The 22,180-nt window shown below is 36.1% G+C and overlaps 2 long non-coding RNA genes across 20 annotated transcripts in view; one reads left to right on the forward strand and one right to left on the reverse strand.

The window, feature by feature from the left end:
- The window catches only part of LOC105376944 (uncharacterized), a 246,298-nt gene that overhangs the window by 214,564 nt on the left and 9,554 nt on the right, over window positions 1-22,180 (forward strand). For 6 of the 19 annotated variants that reach the window (NR_188698.1, NR_188697.1, NR_188706.1 and 3 more), the window contains 3 exons: window positions 5,448-5,538; window positions 12,564-12,662; window positions 19,445-19,541. This is a non-coding gene — a long non-coding RNA (uncharacterized LOC105376944). Of the gene's footprint in view, window positions 1-1,630; window positions 1,724-5,447; window positions 5,539-12,563; window positions 12,663-15,081; window positions 15,267-19,444; window positions 19,542-22,180 lie in introns of all 19 variants that reach the window. The other 13 variants (NR_188694.1, NR_188693.1, NR_188700.1 and 10 more) reach the window with 5 other exon arrangements.
- GRM7-AS3 (GRM7 antisense RNA 3) overlaps window positions 1-22,180 on the reverse strand; it is a 173,092-nt gene that overhangs the window by 72,648 nt on the left and 78,264 nt on the right. The window lies entirely within an intron of this gene.

Below are 22,180 nucleotides of genomic sequence, written 5' to 3' on the forward strand. Positions count from 1 at the left end.
GCTATTACTAAGAAGTCAAAAAAATGAAAACTAAACGTGTTGGCAAGGTTGTAGAGAAAAGGAAATGCTTATACACTGCTGGTGGGAGTGTACATTAATTCAGCCACTGTGGAAAGCAGTGTGGAGATTTCTCAAAGAACTTAAAACAGAACTATTATTTGACTAATTACTGGGTACATACCCAAAGGAATATAAATCATTTTACCAAAAAGACACATGCATGCATACGCTCATCACAGCACTATTCACAATAGCAAAGACAGTGAATCTACCTAGATAATCATCAACGGTGGACTGGTTAAAGAAAATGTAGTGTATATACATCAAGGAATACTACATAGCCATAACAAAATAAAATAATTTGCTTTGCAACAACATGAATGTAGCTGGAGGCCATTATCCTAAGCGAATCAATGCAGGAACAGAAAACCAAATACTACATGTTCTCACTTATAAGTGAGAGCTAAAGATTGAGTACACATGAACACAAAGATGGGAAATTAGACACCATGGCCTACTTGAGGGGGGAAGGTGAGAAGAGAGTGAGTGTCAAAAAACTACCTATGAAGCACTATGCTTACTACTTGGGTGATGAAATAATTCAGACACTAAACCCCAGCGACACACAATCTACGCATGTACCAAACCTGCACATGTACCCCGTGAAACTAAAACAAAAGTTGAAAGAGAAATAAAATAAAATCATCGGAAAAAGGAAATAAAATAATAATATAAAAGTAATAAAAATATATTGAAAATTAACTTTGTCAACAAAATGTTTGTTAGTCTAATGACCAAACAATGAGAATTGCATGAGGCTAAATAAATATAAACAACACAAAATATCTCTGGTGTTGAATTTTGATTTTTTTAAAATTTTAGTGTTAGAATAGTCTATATTTATGGATTCAGATATACATCTAAAAGTGCTTGAGAGACTTTATGGATTGCATAGTTGTTTAAATTATATTCTTCTCTTTCTTATAAATTTACTTGCAAAAAATGTATTACTCTCCCCAACTTACCATGTATTAGACCCAATATCATTAAGACAAGTTGTTGAATTGAAATAAACTTTATTTCAATTTCCTCAAGTAGAATGTCACTGTGTACACATACTATACGTAAAAAGGAATATGATCAATGATAAATTTTCTTGTGATTTTACTTTCTTCCAGATCAGAGATATCTAGATAAATTCTCTAAATATTTTAGGACCAGAAGGAAAGATTCACAAAAGATTGGTTAATTGGGCAAGATAATGTTCTTAAATAGAGTTTTGTACTATCTTTGAGGACATTCTTTCCTTTGGAAATTTGTTGTGGTGCAATCATCTTGATAAAATAAGCAGTTTGTACTTCTATTTGGTCTTCAGCGCTAAGATTTTAGTGCAATACACTCTCTAAACCACTACAACTCAATGGCAGGAGGTGTGCCTTGCTCTTCTTTATATTCCAGACATGCAGCAGTGCCTGGAATAGGAAAGGAACCTAAATTACATCTGTCTAAGAGCAAGTCCAACAGCTTCTTGCTATTTTCCAACGTATTTGACTGCTATTTATCATTTCATCCTACTGACCGTTCTATCAGATGTTCTTGTTTTCCACCTAAAACCTTCCTTTTCTTCCAGGTAACTTTCAATCATGGTCCCAATTTAGTCAATTCTGCTACAGCACATGCCCAGGAAAGATGATGGATCTTCATTAATTTAAATGAATCATAGGTAAAATCCGTTTCACTTATCATTGATTGGTTTGGGAATAAATATCTGACTATGCCTTGGACAATGAGCTGTGAAACAGATTGAACATTGGCAGTGAGGGCATTGTGTCTGGGAAAGGTTTTCTGCGAAGAAAAAGAGCCACAAAAGTAAAACATTTTATTTTTCACTGTGCATTGCCATGTTTGTGTGTTACACTTGGAACTGAGGCATCTGAAAGCCACAATCTCACATACTGAGGGTGGCACAGCAGAAATGTTGCAGAACTTTGAATCTTTGCCAATTTCAAGCTATCTAAATAGTCACTTACACAGCTGAACTCTCTGAAGTTTTTAAAAAATGCCTTACGATTTAATCTATTTAAATTTGAACTTTCTTACAGCCTAACTGAATCTAACCACACAATAAAGGTATTTTAAAAATCTCTTTATTCTTTAGGCTTATATGACATCGGGCTTGCCTGTTTCTTATAATTATTTAGTTGCAGTTTCCTTCTGTGTGTCTAACAGTTTGTTTCTGTGTATCTCAGACTTTTCTTAAGGTTTTCTTCTTGGTCCTCTTATAATCTGCCAGCTGTCTTAGCACTTCCACTCACCTTACAGCTTGACTTACCAACTCTGTCTTCATAACTACAAAATCTTTTCTAAAGTTTTGACTTCTCTACTTAGCTTCAGGCTCAAGCTTCTTCTTTGTAAGAGACTTTTACTCTGGATTCTCATAGATTTCCTCGAACTCATTAGTTCATGTAAAACCTCATAACCTTGCCAACCCCATGCTGTCTTCTCTTGTCTTAGAGTATAGCCTCCTGAGTGCCTTGGTTCAAAAGCTTCCAGTCATCTTTGTTCTCTTCTTTCTCTCTCTGGGTAATGAGCCACCAAATCCTGATATTTTATGTCTGAACTGTGTTCTTAATCTGTCTCTTTTCATTGAAGAAAATGGCTGGCACATCAAATGGGTTTGCAGATTTACAAAGTTTTTGGGGTAGAAGTGTGATGTAGACTGAGACATGTTTAACTTTCTGGCTTTTGAAATTCATCTCTAATTTTTCTGATTCCTTCTAAGATCCACTATAGGTATTCTGAAGTTTCTCTATAATGTGCCTAGATTTGAATTACTTTTGTTTTTTGTGTGTGTATGCTTGTAATTTGTTGTACATCCTGAATCATTCATAGAATACATATCTTTCCTCAAATTCATATTATTATTTTCTTCCCAAGTATTATTTATTTACTTATTTATTTTTATTTCAATAGCTTTAGGAGTACAAGTGATTTAGGGTTATATGGGTGAATTATATGGTGGTGAAATTCATGGATGAATTGTACGGTGGTGGAGTTCATGGATGAATTGTACGGTGGTGAAGAAATTCATGGATGAATTGTATGGTGGTGAAGTTCATGGATGAATTGCACAGTGGTGAAGAAGTTCATGGATGAATTGTACGGTGGTGAAGTTCATGGATGAATTGTACGGTGGTGAAGTTCATGGATGAATTGTACAGTGGTGAAGTTTATGCATGAATTGTACAGTGGTGAAGTTCATGGGTGAATTGTATAGTGGTGAAGTCTGGGCTTTTAGTGTACCTGACACCCAAATAGCATACATTATAACCAATAGATAACTTTTTATTCTTCCTCCCTCTTCTCCCTTTCAATTTCTGAGTCTCCATTGACCATTATTATCACTCCGTATGCCTCTGCGTACCCACAGATTAGCTCCCACTTATAAGTGAGAACACCTGGTATTTAGGTTCTTGTTCCTGAGTTACTTCACTCAGGGTAATGGCTTCCAGTTCCATTCAAGTTTCTGCAAAAGACATTATTTCATTCTTTTTGTATGGCTGGGTAGTATTTCATGGTATAGGTATATACCACATTTTCTTTATCTACTCATCAGTTAATGGGCACTTACGTTGATTCCATATCTTCGCAATTGTGAATTATGCTGTGATAAACATATGCATGCCAATGTCTTTTTGGTATAATGAGTTCTTTTCCTTTGGGTAAATACCCATTAGTGGTATTGCTGAATTGAATGATAGATCTACTTTTAGTTCTTTGAGAAATCTCCATACTGTTTTCCAAAGAGGTTGTACTAATTTACATGACTAGGAGCAGCATATAAGCACTCCCTTTTCACATCTGGACTAACATCTATTGTGTTTTGACTTTTTAATAATGGCCATTCTGGGTCGGGTAAAGTAGTATCTCATCTCTCACTATATACAAAAATTAAGTCAAGATGGATTAAGATTTAAGTCCAAGGCTGCAAACCATAGAAATTCTAGAAGAAAACTTAGGAAAAACTCTTCTGGACATTGGCCTAGACAAAGAATTTATGAATAAGACCCCAAAAGCAAATGGAACATAAACAAAAACAAATGAATGGGACCTGTTTAAGCTAAAAAGCTTCTGTACAGCAAAAGAAATATTCAACAAACAGGTAACCTACAGGATGGGAGAAAATATTTGCAAACTGTACTTCTGACAAAAGACTAATATATCTAGGATCTACAAGGAGCTCAAACAAATCAGAAAGGAAAAAAGAAAAACAAATAATCCCATTAAAAAGTGGGCAAACAATATGAACAGATATTTATCTCGAATTCCTGACCTCAAGTGATCCACTCGACTCGGCCTCCCAGAGTGTTGGGATTACAGGCATGAGCCGCCACGCCTGGCCAGAAGATATTTATCTAAAGAAGATACACAAATGTCCGTATTTAATATTTGCTCTTCAAATTCTGCTTCCCCTTCATTCTTTCTGTTATTTCCTTTTGGGACAATACAGCACATGATTTTTTTTTTTTTTTTTCATTTCTACATACTACTGTATGAGTCTTCACTTAGGTTTTTTTTTTCCACAATTGTATTTTATCAAACTGAAGTAAATTCATAAAAACCTACCACAAATGGAAATGTGGTATCAGGAACCAAAATAGCAATACTTGTACCAGTTTCTGATCTAAGTATTTATACATATTAACACAAATTTTGTCCTCAAAATAACCCTTTCTACTATTATTATTATCATCCCTACTTTAGAAATAGAGTAAATGTGACACGGAGGAAAGAAACGGCTTGTCTTCAGTCATACGGCTAGTAAGGAAGGGATAGAATGAGAAATTGAAAACAGGCTTCAGAATTATTCTTAAGCACCACACGCCACAGTAATACATTGCACTATCCCATGTGTTACCTTTTCAAGGTTTTCAGATAATTCTTTGTGAACTAAAAGAAATAACTTAGTAACCAGAATTCAATTTTATTCAATTCAAAAAATATAAATTGAATGCAGGCAGCTAGCTAATGATCAGCTTTGAAGAGACCTGATCATTAGCTAGCTGTGATCTTCTTTTTAACTAAAAAAATTAAAAGTCTGCATCTAAAATGAGAAAAAGAAATATCCCATATATATATGTGTGTGTGTGTGTGTGTGTATACACACACACACGTATATTTTTCACAGTGTTTTCTGAAGTTTTGCGCTCTAGTGTTATTAATAACCAAGAACACAGAAAGAAGGTGCCTACTATCCACAAGTTGTATAATACAATGCAATCAAATATATAATACATTTTAATCTTTGCATTTGAAATGCAAACATCATTGTGAAGTACAGCCTAAGTGTATTTTTGAATTTATTAAAAACATAGGCGTTACTGATTCTAGAGATAGTAACATGATGCCACATTACACTTTGAAAATGCAAAATCATTTTCCTCCAGGCGGAAGATAGAATGGGAGTCCTAGTTGACCTTCATATAATTTTTAGAAGATGGAGCACTTCAACTTCTTCCACTCATGAAAAGAGAGGTGGTAAGCTGACAGAAAAAATTTCTTTTTATTTACTGGCCATTACAGTTGTAAAATACTGCAGACATGAGCCTAACATAAATCAGTTCTCCTCAGATGAATATGCCTTAAGAGAGGCTTTCTGCCAAGGTTTCTTCACCTTGGCCATATCTCTCTGGAGTACTCTTGATCTGTCTCTGGCAGCCCTTTTGAATTTATTTTGTGTTTAATTCCAAATAATCCTCAATCAGAAAACAAAAATGGAGGCTCAATGCTCTACGGCTGAAAGGAACTTCAGAGGTTATATCAGTTCTATCATCTGTATCAGAATTCTTTCTGCTACAAGCAACAGAAAACACTGCTCAAACTTGCTTAAGCAAAAAAGAAATTGATTATCTCTGTAAAGTAATAGTTCAAATATATGTCATGCTTCAGATGAGGCTTGATCTAGTGGTTCAAAAAGCTCATGAAGGCCAGCATCACTTTCCCTTAGTTTATTCTTCCGTTTATAGTATGTGCCTCATTTTTGGAGTCTTTATGACTCCCATCATGAGAAGACGGCATGCACTGATTAACTTTAGCCACACGGAGTCCATTCTTTTTTTGGGCAGTACAGCCAATACTACCCAGACCATATGGTTTCTCTACAAATGGAAATTCACAATGCTAAAAGAAGTGGGGAAAATGGATGCTGGGGAAGAAGTCAAAAGATACCCATATCATCAACCCCATCGTTTTACAGATGAAAAAGAGACGTTTCAGAGCTACAAGATGGAAGGAGACCATCTGTTCTAAAACTACATTTATGTGACCAGAAGGAAATGTTAATTTTATTAAGCCAATAAGATGTCAAGGTTTATTTCTAACATTGGGGAAATAGAAAGTTTTCTCAGTCATCTTTTCAGTCTTGAGTTTGAGTTTCAGTCATTGACCTAGAATACACATCCCGGATCTTGCTCTCAGAGAACTCATGCTTTAATTCTTAATCTCTTTGGTGTTTAGTCTTCTGAGTGATTGCTTGAGGTTTCTACTTAGCAAAATGGGGACAATGAGGAATGTGTACCAAGATGAAAGAAACGCTTCATTGATAAATTAGATAGCACCTGCACATGCAGAGTTACAGTTGCATTTCTTACTGGCTTCGCCACATCACTTCTTACTCCTTGAAGTCATATAAGGAAAGCTTTTTTCTTTTTTAAAGTAGGGCATCGGTGGAATGACATGCCTTTTGAGACAGGGAACACAGCCTCATGGAAAATGCTCAAGCAATATATGAAGCTGTTGGCTGCTTTGTATAAGATTCATTTACACAATATTTATTTAGGTCCACTCTGTGTCAGGCTATCTTCTGAGTACTTTTTATATGTGTGAACAAGGTAGACAGAAAGTCTTGCTCTCATTGTATGTGCATTCTAATGATACAGAAAGAAAATAAATATGTAAAATATACATCAAATAGTGTGGGTACCATGGGGACAAATAAAGCAGGAGAAGGAGATGAGGAAAATGGTATGGGATGAATGTTTGCCTTGGCTAAGAGCCTGAATGAGATAAATTTTCAGATAAATGTCTGATTCAGTTGTATAATTACTTAATTCTAGGACATGGTCTTACTTATAATGGAAATTTAGGCCAATAAAATGAGACGTTAAACATAGGACTGTCTCTAGGTAACCTGGCTTCTTATGAACACTCCTGAATGACTTTCTCCCTCTCCCTCTTCAAGTTCTTGTTTGGGTGCCACTATCTGTATGAGGCCTATGTTGACCAGTTCATTTGTAAACCTGACATCTGCTCACTCTTCATTCCACTTCCCAGCTCCACTTTTATTTCATAGTTTCCACAGTGATTATTACTTCTTAGCACCTTATCTAATCTATCTATCTATACATAATATACATAATATATATAATATATAATATATAATTAATTATATATAGTTATAATTACTTATATATAATCTCATTATATTATATATAATATATAAAATATATGAATATATAATTATATTTATAATTAATTATATATAATATAATATAATGAGGATTATATATAATATATAAAATTATATATTATGTAATATATTAAATACATATATAGCTACATAATTATTAATTATTATATGATTATAATTAATATATAATATATAATATGATTATATTATGTATAATATAATAATATAATATGTAATAAAATACCCATTATACATTATATATAGTGTAATAAAATATATCTTATATTAATCATATATAGACAGAAAATACCCATTATACATTAGATTATATAATAGTATAACAGGTATTTTATTACACATTAATAATATCATACATGTACATATATGATGTATAATGGATATTTTATATATACATATATAATGTTTAATGGGTATTTTCTGTCTGTTCATATAAGAATTTAAGTTTCATAAGACAGGCTATTTGCCCACTTTTAATTGTGTATCTCCAGTACCTAGAAGAATTCTTAACACATACTAAGCAGTCAATAAATATTTGTGGAAGGGAGACAGGAAGGGAGGGACAGAGAAGCTGTATAGTATACTAGGCAAGAGCACACATTTTGGAGATAAGACAGTCTTGGGTCAAGTTGACTCGTAGTCAAGTAATACCTTTTTGAGCCTTAATTTATACACTATAAAATGAATGTCAGTAATATTGTTTTCCTGGGAAAAAAAAGTATTGTAGGAATGACATAAAATAATATAATATATGAAGGTCTTCTCCTATTCCTTAGTCGAAATAAGTAAGAGTTACTCCTGTTCCTGTTGGTCATATTGTGTTAGTGCTATTATTTCTTCATCCAGCAGATATTATTAATTAGCTGTCTAATAATGTATCAGGCACAGTGCAAGGCAAATGCTGAAATCAGCAAATTGCCGGATCCTCTCCTCTGGCCCTATAGTACTGGAGCTCCATTCTCTATGCCAGAGTTTTGTTTCCAGGCATAGAATCTTCCAAATAGTGAATCTTAAATCTGGTGATATATTTCAAGGCCTCAGAGGATTTTTAAAAATACATAGATCCATAGGGATGGAGAGGATCACGTCATAATTCTTATGGAGCAGGTCTGGAAGAGAGAAGTGTGAAGGTGCATTTTTAGCAGTTTAAGAATGACCTTCTTCCTTTTTACTAAAATAACTACATTTTATAATAAAGTTTTAGAAAACACTACTCTGAAATATTATGGTTGTTCAAAGATGGTACCAGTAAGACATATTTTCACTCCAGCAGTGAACTTTTTAGACCAAATCCATGTTTAAAAGAAGAAAGCAATCTTTAAGAAGATAAGTAGAGGTAGTTGAGGGAGATTTTTAAAGTGATTATGGAGTGTGAAGAAACACTCTAAACCTCTCAAATAATATTTGATAAAAGATCACCTTCTTCTCTCTAGCTGGGAGTTAACTATTGATGCCTTTTTCTATTTTGAGGATTTTTTCCTCTAGATTAAAAGGAAAGAATCTCCAGTCCCTGTGAACTTGTGCAAAGAGGTTGAAAAGGAGCAAGCCTCCCTGTTATGCCACATGGGTATCTTTCATCCATAGGCAATTTGGCTCCGGGGCTGCAGAACACTTCTGGCCCATCTGGAAAGCTACTGAGAGCAAGAGAACTGAAAGGCACATCTTTAATTTTCATTTCCTAGACTTCGCATAACTCAGCCTTGGGCCAAAACACATCATAGTCAACTCAGAGATTTTGGCCCTACCTTTGGTGTCTTCTGAAATTCAGTGTCAGAAGAGATTGAACAGGACTGTTCTACCTTTATCTAGGAAAACTACCTGGAAGGAAATATCAGCCGAGAATTTATTTTTTATTTTAAGAAAAAAATTCTCTCTCTCTCTCTCTCTCTCTCTCTCTCCTCACTCTCTCTGCCTATAGATACAAATGTTAAAGATGGGTTTTATCTGATGAGGGGAGATAGTAGTTGGGCATTCAGATTCCTCAAAAGCAGGAAGGAGGTAATTTATTGACAGAAGAAGCACCTATGTCTACAAAACAAAAAATGATCTATGGTCCTCTGTGTATAAAGGAGAATGGGAAGAAACACCAGAGACAAGTATTAAGTTCCCAAGGGGCTAAAGAGATACAAGACTTTAAAAAGGTAAATGAAGACAACATAGGTGATGAGGAAATTAAGGAGATTGACATGAAATGAGATTATAGTTCTAGGAGAAATCCCATAACTGATAGGAAAAAAAAGAATTTCTGAAACCGAAATCTGGCTAACATTTAGAAGGGAAAAACCAAATGCCAAAGAGACAAAGAAAAATCTAATAATCGTCATTGTGTGCAAAGGATTTAATAATGATAAAGAAACTAGATGCCAGATTGCAAAATGGCACATACTCTAGGAGGTTACCACACTGTGGAGCTCCAATAATAGTGTCCTGCTCTATATCCAGAGACAAAATTACTGACCTACCATCTGTTTTAGCAGCCACAAGGATTCATTTGGACATTCCAGTTTACACCCCTACCACACATTTTCAAGACAAGAGCCTGTGGCTCTCATTTGTTCCTCTAGCCGACATCAATTTTTTACATGAGAATGGAACTCAGTCTCGGGTCATTTGCACTGGCTGGGCTAACCAGTAAGAGATACTGCATCATGTAATAAAGATAATGACATTTTAGAAGGGGCATGGCAAGTGATTATGCGTGATGGGTCTTGAACCATAAGGGCATTGTCTTTGAGAAGTAGATAAATGTCTAGAAAGGAAACTAAAAGCACTAACTTTGGCATTTTATTCATTGCATGGGTTTAGACCAATGGTTCTCAACTGATGGGGTACTTTTGCTCCACAGAGAACATTTAACAATGTATACAGGCCTTTTCATTGTCACAGCTTGAGGGGGAAGGGGCGGTCACTACTGTCATGTGATAGTAGAGGCCAGGGATGCAGCTAAACGTCCTACAGCGCACATCATGGCTCCTCAACAACATAGACTCATCTGCCCCAAAATATCAACAGCGCCAAGGAGAAGAATCCTGCTTTAGACAAATACTTCCATTTATTTGTCTTTTTTGTCCTCTCCTTACAAGAGAATAATATCTTACGTGGTTGATGTAAAGAATCAATAAGATGAATCAATACATACAAGTGCCTGAAAAATGGTAGGTAGTCACTGCATTTTGAATATTATATATATATATATATATATTTTTTTTTTTTTTGAGATAGGGTCTCACTCTGTTGTGTAGGCCAGAGTGCAATGGCATGATTATGGCTCACTGCAGCCTTGACCTCCCAGGTTCAAGCGATTCTCCTGCCTCAGTCCCCTGGGACTGGGACTACAGGCATGAGCCATCACACCCAGCTAATTCTTTTGAATTTTAGTAGAGATGAGGTCTCACTAGGTTGCCCAGGCTGGTCTCAAACTCCTGGAGTCAAGTGATCTGCCCACCTTGGCCTCCCGAATTGCCAGGATTACAGGCATGAGCAACCATACCAGGCCTGAATATGAATAAATGAATATTTAAAACTATGCTTGTCAAATTTTAATGTGATTCTAAGTCTATGAAGCAGTTTGGAATAGGATTTTGAGTGTAAGGAGCTTCACATTTTAAATTACATCAAACTGCATCAGGTAGAAGAAAGGAGTAAATTTTTGCATTTTATGTAATTATAAGTAAATAAGTATTTCCTACTCTGTAGCAGCATGGACTAAAACTTTTTACAAGAAGTGTTCATCTTTTTCTCACCACCTCCAAAAGTATTCCTCAAAAAATGTGTATGGACAATTTAATGTAAATCAACTTAAGTCATTGACAAACATCACCTTGTCTTTAACATGCTAATATGTGCTGCAGATGTTGGACAGAGGATATGGTATTTTCTAAAAGGTATTTGATTATGGCAGCCCTCTTTTTCAATATGTCTTTTAACATCTCACATTAAACTAAATTATTTGAACATAGTTTGGGAAATGCTGAGGAGAAGAAAGGAAGAAAGGGAGGGAAGAAAGGCAGACGGAAAAAATATATTCATATCATCCCCAGGCAGGTGTGCAGGAAAGCAGCCTGTGGCATGACAAGAGTGACACTGTCTTGAAAAGAAACCATGATGATGACAGACATTTGAATCCTGCATATCAAGCTATTCTGCAGCAGGGTCTTAAAACAGTGCCTACAGCATAAATCACCCCTCAGAAAGATGCTTATCTAACTTCCTCAGTAACAAGAAAGCATGAGATGTGACCAGCTTTGTATGTTTTATGCTAAAAACTTCTACAGAAATGAAAATTTTCTGGAAGGCTGGAGCTGAGATCTACCATCTCCAGTCCACCCAAGACATTCCTTTCATTTGTAAGCCCCTCTTGAATATTTTCTTTCTGAGAAACTATTTGTCAGCTTCTTTCTTTGGTCTCTCAGCTCCCTCTCAGCCTTCGGGGGTAGGTTTTTATATACCTGCTCACCATGAAACAAGGTGAAATGACCAGGTGCAAATGAAATGCTATACCTATAATCATTAAGGCATAAACACATGTCATCAAGAATGGGGAAAGCCACTATCTGGAACAGGAAACAATGAAGAAAGAGAGAGAGAGCCAGAGATTTGATCAGGAAGACCCGAGGGAGACAAATACACTTAAGTTGCCCTCACCTTGACTGTGTTGAGCTAATCAAATGAAATACAGTGCTAAGAATTGGATTTGGAAACACAACGAAAATTACTCATCACAGCTATGAAACTCTTTTTCTAACCTTCATGTACACATTCAGCCAAGCTGCTCTTTCTCATCATATTCTGGAGTCTTTTTCAAAGCCGTGAGTCAGAGAATCTGGAGAAATTGTAGTAAAGGTGAAACTTGTCTACTCTGTTTAGTAGTTCTCAAACTTGGCTGCACATTTGCTATAGAATGGAAGTTTATGTCCTCCTCAAATTCATATGTTGATGTCTAATCCCCACTATGATGGTATTTGAATGTGAGTCCTTTGGGAGGAGATTGGGTCATGAGTAAAGCCCTCATGAGTGGGATTAGTGCCCTCATAAAAAGAGATATGAGAGAGCTCACTTCCTCTTTCTCTCCTCTCAGACAGGTGAAGACAGAACAAGAAAACAAACCAAGAATTTCCCCTCACCAGCCACCAGCTCTGCCAGCAACTTGATCTTAGACTTCCCAGCCTCCGTAACGGTGAGAAATAAATGTTAAAGCCACCCAGTTTGTGATATATTTGTTTTAGCAGCCCAAACTAAGACATCATTGAAATCACCTGGGGATCTTTTAAAAAACTACTGAAGCTATTTTCTCTACCCCACCACCACCATCAGAAATTCTAATTTAGTGATTCTGAGGGCAGACTGGACATTAGGACTGTTATATAACCGCAAATGATTCTATGGGGAAGCAACCTAGTAAATGTCTAATCTAGAATGCATGAAAGTTAGAAAGCAAAAGGAAAAGATCTCTCTCTCTCTCTCTCTCTGTTTCTCTCTGCTTTCTTGCCTTTGCTTTTTGAATTTTTTCTTTGTGAGTCATGTTAAAAAACTATGAGGACATCAAATAAAATAATGGCTAACATTAACTAAATACCTACTGCTTTTCATCACTTAAACTGTGCTTTATCTTTACTGATCAATTTAATTCCTCTAACAACTCTTGAGGCAGGTATTGTGAGGCTCCATGTGAGGACACATTACCTGGACAAAAAGGTTAACTAACTTAGCCAGTTTACTCAGTAAGAGACACACCAGTCTTCTCGATCCTGCTCACACAAAAACTAAAGTTGGACACAACTGAACCTGAACTTGGCAGAAAAGTCTAGTGGTTCCTAATGCTAGATGAACACTAGAATCTCATGGTAAGCTTCCAGAAAGCCCCCCTGCTATATTTTAGTGGTGTATACTTGATACTAAACACTTGTCAAAACCCACGTAAGTTTACAGCTCAAATGCTGAACTTTAATATATGTAAATTTAAAAAATCAATTCAGGAGGTCAGAGGGTTCCAAGATGGAATGTAGACGGTGACTAAGGAATCTAACTGTATTACAAAAGTATGCATAACCGCACTGAAGGAGGCAGAGAAACAAGGTGCTGATCTAAGTTTTTTTGGAATTGAGTAGGCTGAGACTGAAGGCAATAGGAAGTGTGCATAAGCACTGCACTTTAATTGGTAAAGTTACTTCCTACAAAAGCACAATCTAACAATTCTGAAACCACTCTACATGTATATAGGGTTGAACAAGTATTTAAATAGATGCTGAACAGTGCCAGATTTCTCACTGTTGAAGTGGGAGGTTATAGATGGGCAAGGGGAAAAAAGTACAATGGTCCACGTAGTAATGGATTCAAGTAGGAGACATCAGTATGAATTCAGGTTACTTTTAATGTAGATATGTATGTGTTCACAGGTTAATAGTGCCAACGTATATTTTCTTTTTTAAAACTTTTTTATTTTTAATTTTTTTAATTTTACTTTAAGTTCTGGGATACATGTGCAGAATGTGCAGGTTTGTTACATAGGTATACATGTGTCATGGTGGTTTGCTGCACCCATTAACCCATCATCTAGGTTTTAAGCCCCGCATGCATTAGGTATTTGTCCTAATGCTCTCCTTCCCCTTGCCCCCCACCCCCTGATAGGCCCCAGTGTGTGTTGTGCCCCTCCCTGTGTCCATGTGTTCTCATTGTTCAACTCCCACTTATGAGTGAGAATATGCAGCATTTGTCTGTCTGTTCCTGTGTTAGTTTGCTGAAAATGACAGCTTCCAGCTTCATCCATGTCCCTGCAAAGGACATGTACTCATTCTTTATTATGGCTGCATAGTATTCCATGGTGTGTATGTGCCACTTTTTTTTTTATCTAGTCTGTCATTGATGGGCATTTGGGTTGGTTCCAAATCTTTTCTATCGTAAATAGTGCTGCAATAAACATACAACATATATTTTCTAGTTCTGTCTACTGACAAGTCTTAGAAGCACCAATAACACCCCAGAAGCAGTGAGCACACTAAGTGCCCAGATACTGGTTTCCAGTTCCATTCTCCAATAAAAGGAACCTGGGCTTCTTGGAGAAATGGCTGCTTCTAAGGCTGGGGCAGGGAATACGCAAGATGTGCCTGGCTGGTGTTTAAAAGACAAAATGATGGAAGCATATAAAGGGGACACAGAAGCCAACTAAAACAGCTCTCAATGGTCAAAGCTGAAACAATTTGAGCAGCAAAATAAATAGCTTAATATTGGAGTATAATCCAAGGTATAAGTAAATATTTTGAGCCCACGTGGATATAAACCGATGATTGAATATGTACATAAATAAGTGGGGAGAATAGACAAGTCTCCCAATTACAGTAATTCCGAATAATTTACGTAAATATTTCCCCCTCAAGGAGTTGGAATATCACTCCCCTTCCCTTAATTGTGAGTTGCATATAATAACTTTCTTCTAGAGAGTGCAGTATAAAAAAGAAGAAAGGGTACCTTACAGTGAAGAAATCTGACAAACACCACCTCAGCTAAGTAGGTGATCAAGGTCAACATCAACAATAATGTCATGTAAATGTCATTTATTCCTGATGTGAGGTGATAAGAATGGCACTTTTTCTCTGCAGTCTTCCTCCTAAAAACCTGTAACCTCAATCTAATCATGAGAAAAGACATCAGGCAAATCCCAACTGAGGGAGATTTTACATAGTACCTGAGCAGTACTCCTCAAAACTGTCAAGGTCATCAAAAACAAAGAAGTATGAAAAACTGTCACAGCCAAGAGGAACTTAAGGAAACATAATAATTAAAGGTAATGTGGTATGTGGGATGAGATCCTAGAACAGAAAAAGGACATTAGATAAAAACTAAAAACATCTGAATCAAGCATGGGCTTTAGCTAATAATAATATATGACTTTTGAATCATTAACTGTAAAAGAAAGTATTAATATGAGATGGTAATAATAGGGGAAATTGGGTATGGGGTATATAAGAATTCTCCGGACTTTGAAACTTTTTGTGAAGGTACATTATTCTAAAATTAGAACTTATGTGAAAAACAAGCAAAGAAAATAAAACAGAATATCTATCTACTGGAACACCTTCAGAGACTCAGATTTAATTTGTCTGGGGTGAGCAGAGCTTGAGTGCTTGGTAGCTTTTAAAAGAGCCCCAGGCATTTTTAATAAATATCTAATAAGAAATGATATCCATCCAGTTTGCTAATCCCATGGCACAACTTCAGGCCCTAAGATATCCCTTTTCAGCCCAGAGATCTGTACTCTTCCCTATAGCTTATTGCAACCAATAATCAGCAAAACTATTTTCATTTTGTATGAAAGTTCCGGAGAAGCTGAGCATAAGAGCATTGAGAAAACTCTTGGAAAACATTACTAAATTTAATAGAATGCCTTGATGTGAATTAAAAACAAGAAAAAATCTTGCCAGGTGCGGTGACTCACGCCTGTAATCCCAGCACTTTGGGAGGCCGAGGCGGGCGGATCATGAGGTAGGAGATCGAGATCATCCTGGCTAACATGGTGAAACCCCGTCTCTACTAAAAACACAAAAAATTAGCCGGGCATGGTCGCGGGCGCCTGTAGTCCCAGCTACTCGGGAGGCTGAGGCAGGAGAATGGGGTGAACCCGGGAGGCGGAGCTGCAGTGAGCCGAGATCGCGTCACTGCACTCCAGCCTGGGCGACAGAACTAGACTCGGTCTAAAAAAAAAAAAAAAAAAAAAAAAAATTCATGTAGTCCCCTTATCAACTGACCCTCAAAGGGCCTCCCTTGACCCTGATGGTTTTTTTTTTTCCCCGTGCCTGGTGCCTTTCACACTAATATAAGGAGACCAGGTTTGGCAAAACAGTGCAGAAATTCCATTCATTGATCAAGTAATGGAGAACGGGAGCTCATGCTCAAAGCACCTTCTCCCTGGAAGTAGAGTAAAGGGAAATTTTTAAGGACTTTTGGGCAGGTAGGTGGAGACAGGGGTGGGGATTCCTTGAAAAAAGTTTGTTCTTCCAGGAGGGGTTAAGTATGCGCAGTCTTGCATTTTCTTTTGCATTGGCACTTTTTGCACCCAGCAAGGTACATTTCTCCCCACTGGATGGAAATGTTGGTATGAGAAAGAGGCAAGAAATCAGGTCAGGTCTCGCACTGAGGCAGAAGTTCAGGTGAAGGCAGCATTTCTGGGCTTAGCTTGTCCTGCAGGTGGTTCCTGGTTATTGGCATCTGACTGTTGTTTCTGTAAGCAAGCATAGCTACAAGCATAAGTTAGTTTCAGGGGTTTTGTGCCTTCCTGAGAGAATCTGAGTTATGCTGTGGTAACAGGTGACGGTTCCTTAAATTTGAAAACCGAACAAACAAGAAGACTTAGAAGTTATTAGCTGAAACTATGATTCAGAAGGATAATTCAATCCCCAAAATTATGGTGCTTCAAAGGTGGCAACTGAAATAAAAGTGACTACCTGTATTTTTATACAAGTTACTTGTGGCCAGCTGTTTTTTCTATGCAGATATGGGGTTCTCATTTCACAGCAGATCCATATTACAGGCAGAAACAAAAATGACAGAATCATAAACCTTTGAGATTATCCAGTCTAGTGGTTTCCCTCTGTGCTACATATTTCTTGGGAGGCTTCCTTGATGTTTAGGGGAAGATAGAGTGGAATGAGTTCCGTGAATCCGCTCTGCTTCAATCACAGATCCAATTTAACCAATTGTTTGTGTGTGTGTGCATGTGTGTGTGTATGTGTGTGTGTGTGCATGTATTAGAATGTTCTCATGCTGCTAATAAAGACATACCAGAGACTGGGTAATTTGTAAAGAAAAAATGGTTTAAATTGACTCAATCTACGTGGCTTGGGAAGCCTCACAAGCGTCACAGAAGGCAAAGGAAGAATAAAGTCACGTTTTACATGGCGGCAGACAAGAGGGCTTGTGTAGGGAAACTCTGATTTATAAAGCCATCAGATCTCATGAGACTTACTCACTACCAAGAGAACAGTATAGGGGAAACCACCCTCATGATTCAGTTATCTCCACCTGGCCCCATCCTTTACACTTGGGGATTATTACAACTCAAGGTGAGATTTGGGTGGGGACACTGTCAAACCATATCAATGCATGAGTGTATGTGTGTTTCAATGTAAGATTACATGTAAACAAAGATTTCTAATGCTAAGAAAAGCATTTAATCCACCAAACTAGTTCAGTTTCCTCAATTTACAGAGTAGATTCCTGAGGCTCCAAAAGGTGAAGTGTGTGTCATTCTGATGCCCAGTTCTGTGTACTGTATACAAGTAATGATATCTCACTTTGCTCTCAACATGAGTGTCAATGATGGTAGCAAATTTAAACTTTTAAAGGTCTTGTATCTTTCTCTTTCTAATAAACAGGTGAGCTCAGTTTATGAGCTGAAAACCATTCAAATACTATCAATAAATTTTATTATTTATGTCCTTCTCCCTTCCACCACAAATATCAGATCATGTAGCTTGGAATTTGTTTTAAAGAACAAGTTTTATTATTTTTCATTGGCTTTGGATGCCAGTTTCAGTTAGATGTTGAACCCAATTTAAATAATACACACCTACATGTCAGTCTTCCATATCTGACTATGCTGATTCCAGCAGTAAAACGTGTTCTGTTTTCCCAACAGTGCTTAGAAATTGGAATGTTTTGCCAAATGTGGGTTGTGTTCTTCTCTATAAGGGTGTGAGTTATGTTCTTCTCTACTAGGGAATGTCTTTTTGCCCACACTCTTTTTTTAAAGAGACTCAGACCAGGTCTAAACCAATTGGCTTTCTCTTTGGAGTAGCAAAATTGTCAGAATATATTGCAGAAAACTCTGGGCAAATGGCATGTTAGAAAGATTACCTATTCAACACAATAAAGCTTGAAGCAAATCAACTCCAATGAGATGAGTCAACTCCCTATACTCAAGGGTGCCCTTGGCAATAACTTTTGACAAACCTACCAATGCACAAAGAGCTTTGCCTGTCAGGTAGATATGCTTTGAAAAGCTTTAGTGCTTGAAAAACCCTCAACTACACAAACACAACCATGCTTTTTATTATTGCCAGTTTCTTTATATGGCTGAGGAGAGAAAACACTACTGTATTTTTTTTAAACCTATAACAAGATAGAACTAGCAGATAGTTATGGCCCTGAGGTGACTTAACTATATAACTCTTTCAAAAGTTCTCAAGACTAAATTACCTTTAGTTTTTGACTCAGCATTTTACAAGCTAATACTAGAACATCTACTTAGACATTATTAAAAACCCTTGAGAGAACTGTAATCATGTTTCTGGAAATTTTTGAAAGAATTCAAAATGTCTACAAAGAAAAATACTGGGCACTGTAATTACATTTTGTTAAAAATAACATTTAATTTTACTCAACAGGAGTTGAATTTTAGCTTAGAAGTAAAAATTAGTGAGAGAGTGGAGAGAAACAGCAAGGCTTCACCGATTAGGAATTGAGTACCCACATACATGGATTTTCTACTAACTGAAACTTACACATGTATACATTACGTTTTTTGCAAAGATGAATAATTTTTAAGTACATATACATACTTTTCTGTACAATTACATCATTAGTATGATTAGCCATTTGTATTTTGAGCCTTCACGTGTCTGGGTTCAAATTCCAGCTCTGTAACATGCTAACTCTGTGACCTTGGGCAAGCTATTTAACATCTCTGAGCCTTGGAGTCCTCATATATAAAACGAAAATAATTACAGTATATATCCCATTAATTTGTTGCAAGTATTAGAATAAAATTGCCCATGCAAATCACTTAGGTCCTGGTATTGAGTATAAAAGAAACACTTGGTAAATATTAGATATTTTTGGTGTTGCTGTTCTTATGGTAATGATTTAGTATACAGCCCTCTCTTATCCTGGCCGAAGTGTCAGCGATTTCTTTTCTTGCATTTTTCATTATCCCCTGACTCACCTTCCTTTCCCAAATCCTTTCAGCCTCTGCTTATAATCTGTCATGGATTGGAAAACTAGAAAAAACAGTTTACAGAGTATAACAAACTTTGGAGGAGTTAATCGACTCTAAGTAAAAGAGGTAAGCCTGTAGCTGTAACATAGGACTTAAGGGTAAGTCTTTTGGATCTGAGTCTATTTTTATATTTAGAGTTTGGGAATTTGTTATTATAGCAGTTTTTGGAAATCTGGTTTATTGTTAAATGTGGTAAAAGTATACACATACAACTATATGATTTATCATTATGTACAGCCTATACATTTTGTTTTGGCAATACGAAGGTTTTCATTTTATTTTAAGATATAATAATTACTTAATTATAGCTTTAAGACAACTGAAATAAAAGAATTATCATTTTTATATATCTAAAGAATATTACAAATAGAGTTTATTTTTCTTAACAAATCAATATTCCAACAGCTTTTAAAATGACTTGACAAAAGAGAAGAAAGGCTTTCCACTAATCTCACCATTTTAACACATAGATTATTTCCAGTTTTGTGCTTTCCCTTCTAATTCTTATGCATAAGTAAACAAACTCATATCATTCTGATCAAAGAACACAGTTTTTAAAAGGCTAAGGACATTATGCTTTTCCCACTATGGGTCTGAAACCCTTTAGCCTGAACATAATACATCTGAAAGTAAAGAATTCCTCTCAAACATGAACTCAATACTTAGCCAACAAGGAAACAAAAGATGTCTCGTTTCCAGTAGATTTATTGGTTTCAGGCAGTGAACAAAGATGAAGAAGAAAGACATATCTTACAGATGGTGGTAATAAATATTTCAAATGAAATCCTCTTCAGACTGTTTCCTTCTCAACCATTCCACTTAAGCATATTTTAATCAGATACCGATACTATTATTGAATTAAAGACCACAAAATCATTTTTCCTTGAAGTTTATTTGCATCACACAGTAACCAAACAGGAAAATAAATTAATATTCTGAAAAATGATAATAATCAATTAGCATATATACACACATGAATTGGAACACTGGAAGTTTAAATTTTGTCAATAATTTCTTTTTTAAATTTTAAGGGATTTTCCTATGGTCTGCTAGCAAGTTTTTGGTTGTTTTCATAGTTTTATTTTATTATATCGTACTTATTTATAATAATAGTTTATTTTCACTGAGTTGGGAATAGGTTTGGCTTCAGTAATTATGTTCAATAATGTTATTTCTGAAATACTGGATGTTTTAGACTGACAAAATCCTGAACTAGAAATTCTCATATGTGTATATAATGGAAAAACGATGAAGCATACTACTGTTTTTGTTTAGGGATAGGAGAAGACTCGTTTCTCTTTGAATGCTGGTGTTTTCCTAATTGTTCATTATCAAATGAAAAAGAGACAAAATAACTACATTAAAACCATCAATAATTTAGAGAGTTCTTAAGAAAAGGGTCCATCATATTATAATGATCCATGTCTAAAAAGAAAACTATAAAAAATTTTACAAGTCATTTCATCTACATTTGGATTTTCATTTGCTTTTGGTATACTCACATGGTTGTACTATTTGAGTGGCTGATACAAATCAATATGATTTGTAGTTGGACAAATTGCTAACGTTCCTACCCTGAGAGTTCCACAAGCTCTATAGTGACCATGAAGGGTTTGGGCCTGAGAAATGCTTGCTTTTGTGTTACGGGTCTGGGAAACACATGTCTGAGTTTTGCTCCTACCCTTCCCTGTTAGTTTCTTGCCTTCCCATTTCTCCCCGTTGGCTTTAATTTTTCTGAGTTTGGCGTTGCTGCATGATCTTGACCATCTTAATTCCTGATGGGGCCTTTATTTAGTAGTTTTACCTTTCTGTTTTTGACCCTGCATTGGTATCAAGTCAACAAGAAATCACTGTTCAGAGAGAAAAGCTGCAACCCCTCCCTCTAGCAGATTTCTTCTTTAAATTGTCCGTAAATCTATTTGTTTCATTGGTTAATAAATGGTTTAAAATCTACTTGTATCCCTGAAGCTTACATCAATCATTCTCTGGCCCACTGAAAATGACTCTCTGGTTCACCACAATAAATCCATTAAGCAGGCATATTTCAGGCCACAGGGTTCTGATAAAGTGAGTCCATGATGAAAATGTAATTAGACCTGAATTGTTCCGACTCCCGAACCATCCATAAATATAAAATACCTGCTTTTCACAGCTCCTTGTCCTCTACCTTTCCATATTGAAATTGACAGCTGCTATACAATCTGCAAATGAAAGAACCTATATTTGATAACATTTATTCTTTGGGGCTTTGAGAAAAAAAAAAGGCTCCATTAAGCAGCATTTTTGGTTTGGCACTTACATAGGCTAGTTTGATTCTTATTTCCAGGTCACTCTGCATCATCTCATCTCAACCTTGACTTGGGAATTACTAAAGGAATCAAACTACAAGGCTCTTATTCCTCTCATAGGTTACTGTAGAAATAGTGGTTGACAGGACTGATGTCAGTCCAGCTAACTCATGATTTATTGCCTCCTATGGAGAGAGTAATGCAATAAAACCTTAGTATTAAAGATCCTGCTGCATTTTATTCTGTTGTCACTATTTAGTCATTGCTTGTGCTTTCCCTCTAAGTTCTCTGCCTGCCACTTCCCTGTTTTCTTCATGACAAGACCATTTTACAACCATTTATTGTATGCCTCTACTAGTTGGATGATAGAGACTCATTCAATGATAAGAAAGACAAAAGACATGGCTAAAATCCACA

Source organism: Homo sapiens, chromosome 3 (genome assembly GCF_000001405.40).
Source record: "Homo sapiens chromosome 3, GRCh38.p14 Primary Assembly".
Taxonomy (NCBI): domain Eukaryota; kingdom Metazoa; phylum Chordata; class Mammalia; order Primates; family Hominidae; genus Homo; species Homo sapiens.